Genomic DNA, 6,102 nt, shown 5'->3' on the forward strand with positions numbered 1-6,102 from the left:
AAAACACAATCTCCAGCCTCCACATGATGAAAATCACAGGGTTGTTTAAATAGAGGGGGCTATTAATATAGATTTGTCCTTTTCTCCCTCCTTCTGCTTAATCATTGTCAGGAGGGCGGTAGAAAATAGTCTGCACACCAACAAGGCTCTGGAATAACTAATTGAATACTATAAACTTCCACCCAGGATTACAAGGAGGGACAGTTGCCTCTCCAGGGTGCTCATTTTGTTTCCGGATCCTGGCACAGGTTGGTCCCAGGCTCCTCTGCCGGGGCGACTATGTCCAGGGCCTTTGGGAACCACGGGCTGATTTGTATGTTCTCATTGTAACAGTTTCTGAAGCCTCAATTTCTGAGGTCTTCCATGGCACACTATAATTTCAGGATTGACAATGATGCTGACAAGAGTGAAAAGAAAACATATTTAGGGAAACAGGAATTTCTCTCAACCTTTATTTTGACATTCAGCAGTAGATGATGGATGTTTTAAATTACTCTTGATAAGAAGCTATCAGTAGGAGTTATTTTGTTTCACAGATACCTGGCAGGTCAAAAACACACTCAAATTGAACAAATATTCTCAAATTAAGTACGGGGAATAGTAAGGCCGAGTAGCTCATGCTGCAGAGAGGAAGCACATCTAAAGCTACAGTGAGTGCTCAAGGGAGCAACTCCTACATCATTTCCACAAGAAGCAAAGAAGAGACAATGGCTGGGAGTCAGAATGGAAATTAGGTGCTTGCTAGTTTAATCTGGAGAGCTGGAACTGACTTAAGGAAGAGGTGGAGAAAACCTACCACCCGGGCTGTCGGGAAGCTGGGGAGCTTGGACTGAAAGAACACGTTGTTTCAAGGACTCTTCATTTTCAAATGTCTTTCACAATTTACTTAATCTCTCCGAGGCCTTAGTTTCCTCATCTATAAAATGGGCTGGTAATATCCTCATTGTTGCTGTGAGGGCCAAGGAAGTGATGCATATGAAACTGCTTTGAAAACTGTGATGTACTCAGCTACGTGGGAGACTGAGGCTGGAGGATTGCTTGAGTCCAGGAGTTTGAGGCCAACCCAGGCAACACTGAGAGACCCTGTCTCAAAAAACAACACAAGAAAACAAAACTGTGATGCATCATGCAGCTGCTTTTCTTTGGATAAATAATATTTGCTAAGTAAAGATAGTAGATGTTCCTCCTTTGCAAACCATTTTCAACTTCTAACACAGCTATTAGAAGTTGTAAGTTACATATATAAAATTTATATTATTTGTAAATAATATTCATTGTGCAAACATTTACTGAGCACCTCTGTGTGCCATGCACTGTGCTTGGTGGCAGAGATATAAATCCATTGATAATTTTCTCACTGTAAATTCCTACAAGTTCTTTCTTTCTTTTTCTTTTCTTTCTTTCTTTTTTTTTTTTTTTTCTGTGACAGGGTCTTATTCTGTCACCCAGGCTGGAGTGCAGTGGCACAATCATAGCTCACCGAAGCCTCAACCTCCTGGGCTCAAGTGATTCTCTTCTCTCAGCACCCGCAAGTAGCTGGACTACAGTAGGGGCATGCAACCATGCCAAGCTAATTTTTGCATTTTTTGTAGATGTGGTTGTGCCATGTTGCCCAGGCTTGTCTCAAACTCCTGGGCTCAAGCCATTTACCCGCCTTGGCCTCCTAAAGTGCTGGGATTATAGGCAGGATCCACCACGCCGAGCCCCTATAAGTTATTTCTTTAAAATTATTGGGTTTACATGGAATACTATGCAGCCATAAAAAAATGAATTCATGTCCTTTGCAGGGACATGGATGAAGCTGGAAACCATCATCCTCAGCAAACTAACACAGGAACAGAAAACCAAACACCACGTGTTCTCACTCATAAGTGAGAGTTGAACAATGAGAACACATGGACACAGGGAGGGGAACATCACACACCGGGGCCTGTCAGGGGGTGAGGGCAAGGGGAGGGAGAGCATTAGGACAAATATGTAATGCATGCAGGGCTTAAAACCTAGATGATGGGTTGATGGGTGCAGCAAACCACCATGGCACATGTATACCTATGTAACAAACCTGCATGTTCAGCACATGTATCCCAGAACTTAGAGTAAAATAAAATAAAATAATTTAAAAGATAAAGTTATTGGGTTAAAGTAAGTGCAAATTTTAAAGATTTTTTATGTGTATTAACCAAATTGATTTCCAGGAAGAGCTTACTCTTTCATAGTTTATGAGAAGTGTTGGTTTTTCTGCCCTTTTGACAACACAGGGCATCATTTGAAATTTTTGTGCTGTCCTGGTTTATTATTTTAATTTTCATTTATTTTGTTGTTAATGCAACTGGATTTTTAAAAAATGTGCTTAATGTATTTTACTATTATAATCATATTAAATTAGTGTTTTGTATAAAGCGCCCACAGCAAAACCAAGCAAAAAAGAATATTGTCCTGTCTCTTTCTTCTACTTGCTGGATCATGATTCTCATGAGTGGATGAGAAGGAAGCTGTGGGCTTTGGCAGGTCTAGAGAGAAGCTTGAAGTGACATCTAGGAAGGAGGGTCTCCCTTGGAGTCTTGGAGGGGCCATCGAGGGCTGAGAGAGACCGTGGTGGGGCAGACAGCACTATCCAGCCTCATCCACAGAGGTGGCATTTTCCAGGCTCTGGCTCCTATAAAGGTGTGGGTGACTTCTGAAGCTGGATCTATGGGCCACCCCACAGGAACAAATGGTCATGGTTGGAAATTCAGATGCCTTGGGAAGTACCAGTGAAAACACTGTCTAGTGGCTGTCTGCTACTCCTGGTTGCTTGAAAAATTTTTTTTGTGTGTTTGGTAGAATACATATAAAATTTCCCATCTTAACCATTACTAAGGGTACAGTCCAGTGTCACTAAGCACATCCATATTGTGCAACCATCGCCACCGTCCATCTCCAGAACCTTTCATCCTCCAGAATGGAAACTCTGTATGCATTAAACAATCACTCCCCATTCCCTGGTCCATGCAGCCCCTGGCAAACTCCATGATATGAATGGAGGCTCTGTCTCTATGAATGTGGCCACTCTAGGTACCTCATATAAGTGGGATCCTACAGGATTTGTCCTTTTGTCATGGGCTTATTTCACTAATGTGTTCAAGGTTCATGCGTGTTGTAGCATGTGTCAGAATTTCCTTCCTTTTTAAGGCTGAATCATATTCTGTTTACTCTTGCAGCCCCCTTTGGGGCCTTATGAGGCTTCTATGTTCATGGAGGTGCCAGCATTATGCTGGGGACCCAGCCTAAGATGAACCCACCTGGGAAAACCTCATGGAACTGAGCTGCAGAGCCTTCCTCACGGTCCTCCCCCTCCATCCCTCTCAGGTCCCCAAAGGAGACCAGGAGGCCTCTCCTGATTCATCTGAGGAGGGTTTGGTGGGCTGGGAAGTGTCCTTCCACTTACTTGGAGCTTTTCGGCAGCCAAATCTCTATCTTTCTCCGTATAATAGGTTCTCTCCCTGTTTTTGCAGGGAGTTGGTGGTGGGATTTGTGACAGTATGGAAATAGTAAAGACAGGCCCAAAGGGTAACCATACAGGAAAATATCTATTACCAGGTGAAAATTCCCCTTTTAAAAAAATGTGGGCTGGGCACAGTGGCTCACACCTGTAATCCCAGCACTTTGAGAGACTGAGGTGGAAGGATTGCTTGAGCTCAGGAGTTCAAGACTAGCCTGGGCAACATAGTGAGACCTCATCTCTATAAAAAAAAATACAAGAAATTGGCTGGGCATGGCGGCATGCACCTGTCCCACCTACTCAGGAGGCTGAGGTGGGAGGATTGCTTGAGCCCAGGAGCTGTGATTGTACCACTGCATTCTAGCCTGGGTAATCCTGTCTCCAAAAAAAAAAAATGTGTAGAGTTTGAACAGTTCACTTTTTTTTTTTTTTTTTTGAAATGGAGTCTCACTCTGTCACTCGGGCTGGAGTGCAGTGGTGCAATCTTGGCTCACTGCAACCTCTGTCTCCTGGGGTCAAGCAATTCTCCAGCCTCAGCCTCCCGAGTAGCTGAGATTACCGGCACCCACCACCACACCCAGCTAATTTTTGTATTTTTAGTAGAGACAGGGTTTCACCACGTTGGTCAGGCTGATCTAGAACTCCTGACCTCAGGAGATCCACCTGAGGGATTATAGGCTTGAGCCACCAAGCCCGTCCGCACACATTTTTTTAAAGAAAGAAATTTATGCACACCTTTTTGGAAAAGCAGGCAACTGAGATGGAATGGTCATTCTAGTCCTGTAGAGGATTTAAAAATATGAGAGCACTTTTGCCTTCTCCTACTCTCATGAAGCTGAAATCGTTTATTTATATAACTCCCACCTTTGGCGTGAACTTCAAATTAGACATAGTGTTATCAATTAATGTAAGAGAAACCCATCCAGAGAGGGGAGTGAGGCAGCTATAAAACCAGGTGGAATTGAATGCTTATAAAAGAGGTTCGACAATGTGATCTTCATGTCCTGGACTCCTGGGAGATTTTCCTTGAACTGGTTCACGTAGTCAAAAGCCTTACATTCTTTTCTGAAGGACAGTTGAGATCATTTTAATCATAATGGAGACTATATGCCGTGAAAGTCTTTAAAAGAATGAGAGGGAGAGTTTGCACGGTGAAGGATATAGAGCAGGCTGGCTTTGAGCTTACATTAGCATGCACCACCTCTTGTCTGGAAGCACCGCGTACCCTCACTAAGACTCATGATAACTACGAAAAGTGAAGCGAGGCTGGAAGAGAGGCCACGGATGTTAAGCATGTTAACATTTCCATTACATCTAAAAGCAGAAAATGGAACAAATAAAGCAGGTTGGGTTTTCTTCCCCCAGTATAATATATGCCAGAATGTCACAAGAACTCATTGTCTGCAGTGAATACAAAAATATGGGCAATTCAGGCTGAACAATGGAAACGTTGGTGATTCCATAAAAGCATCCCATTCGCATTAAGTTCATCTGGCTTTGTTTTATCCCTATTTTTTCCCCCAATAAAGCTGTGTCTTGAATAATATGATCTTTAAAGTTTAAGCTGCATATAGAAGTGCTTCTTCTTTTCCTCTCCACTTTCTCTGGTTCTGAAATGCAAGAAATGCAGAATAAAAGACAATTGAACCATCGTATTTGTTTTTTCTGCCCCTTCTCTCCAGTTAAATGCTGTTGTGATTTTGATGTAAACATCCTAGTAATTTTCACAGGAAGTGGGTGCAGGGATCCTAGCAGTGTGTCTGTTCAATGGTACTGTTAGGCGTCTTTTTGTTCAAAGGAGGACTTGTTCCAACGCCCTGGCACTGATCCAGTGCAGGCAGCCCGGGGACTTGGTGGGCCACCAGGGCAGGTGGTCCAGGAGCTGGACTGTGCACTTAGAGGGGAGGCTGGGTGGTCTTTTCTTTCTACTCGGGATCTCCTGCTCTTAGAAGACCGGCCTTTTGGGATTGAGTCTTTGAGGACTCAGAAGTGATTTTGACCTTGAGCTGACATTTTCAGAGTGAACGAGCTTGCTGAAAGGATGGCAATGTGCAATGTTTGGCTCTCCCCATGATTACAGAGTTGAGTTTAAGAGACAGAGGGAGTAAAAGAAGATGACATTTGAGTTTTTGTGAGTCTTCATCTTATTCCTTTCTGCCTCTCGTTGGAACTGACTGCCAATTCAGAACAAAACAAATTGTGAAAACTCCCCTCCTGTGTCACTCACCCCTGGCCCTCGGGGCCCAGAGTTGGAACAAATTAGGATGGCTTTTGACATTAGGCACAGGACATAAAGCCACAAAAAGTTTGTCTATCCACAAAGAAGCAGAACCTTTGGGTAGACCCATACACCCATACATATATCTACACAAAACACTGTGTTTTCAACCCAACAAGAAAATCATATTTCTCAGTTCTGTTTGACTTCCTCAGCCTTGTTTTCTTATCCCTGTTTCCTTCCTTCCTCCCTCCCTCCCTCCCTCCCTCCCTTCCTTCCTTCCTTCCTTCCTTCCTTCCTTCCTTCCTGCCTTCCTTCTCTTTGCTGATCCTTCTGAGTCTTGAGCCAGGATACAGGGCAACACTCAAGACTGTCCTCATGCCCTTTCCTTTCCCCTGTGATG

Source organism: Homo sapiens, chromosome 20, assembly GCF_000001405.40.
Source record: "Homo sapiens chromosome 20, GRCh38.p14 Primary Assembly".
Classification (NCBI taxonomy): Eukaryota; Metazoa; Chordata; class Mammalia; order Primates; family Hominidae; genus Homo; species Homo sapiens.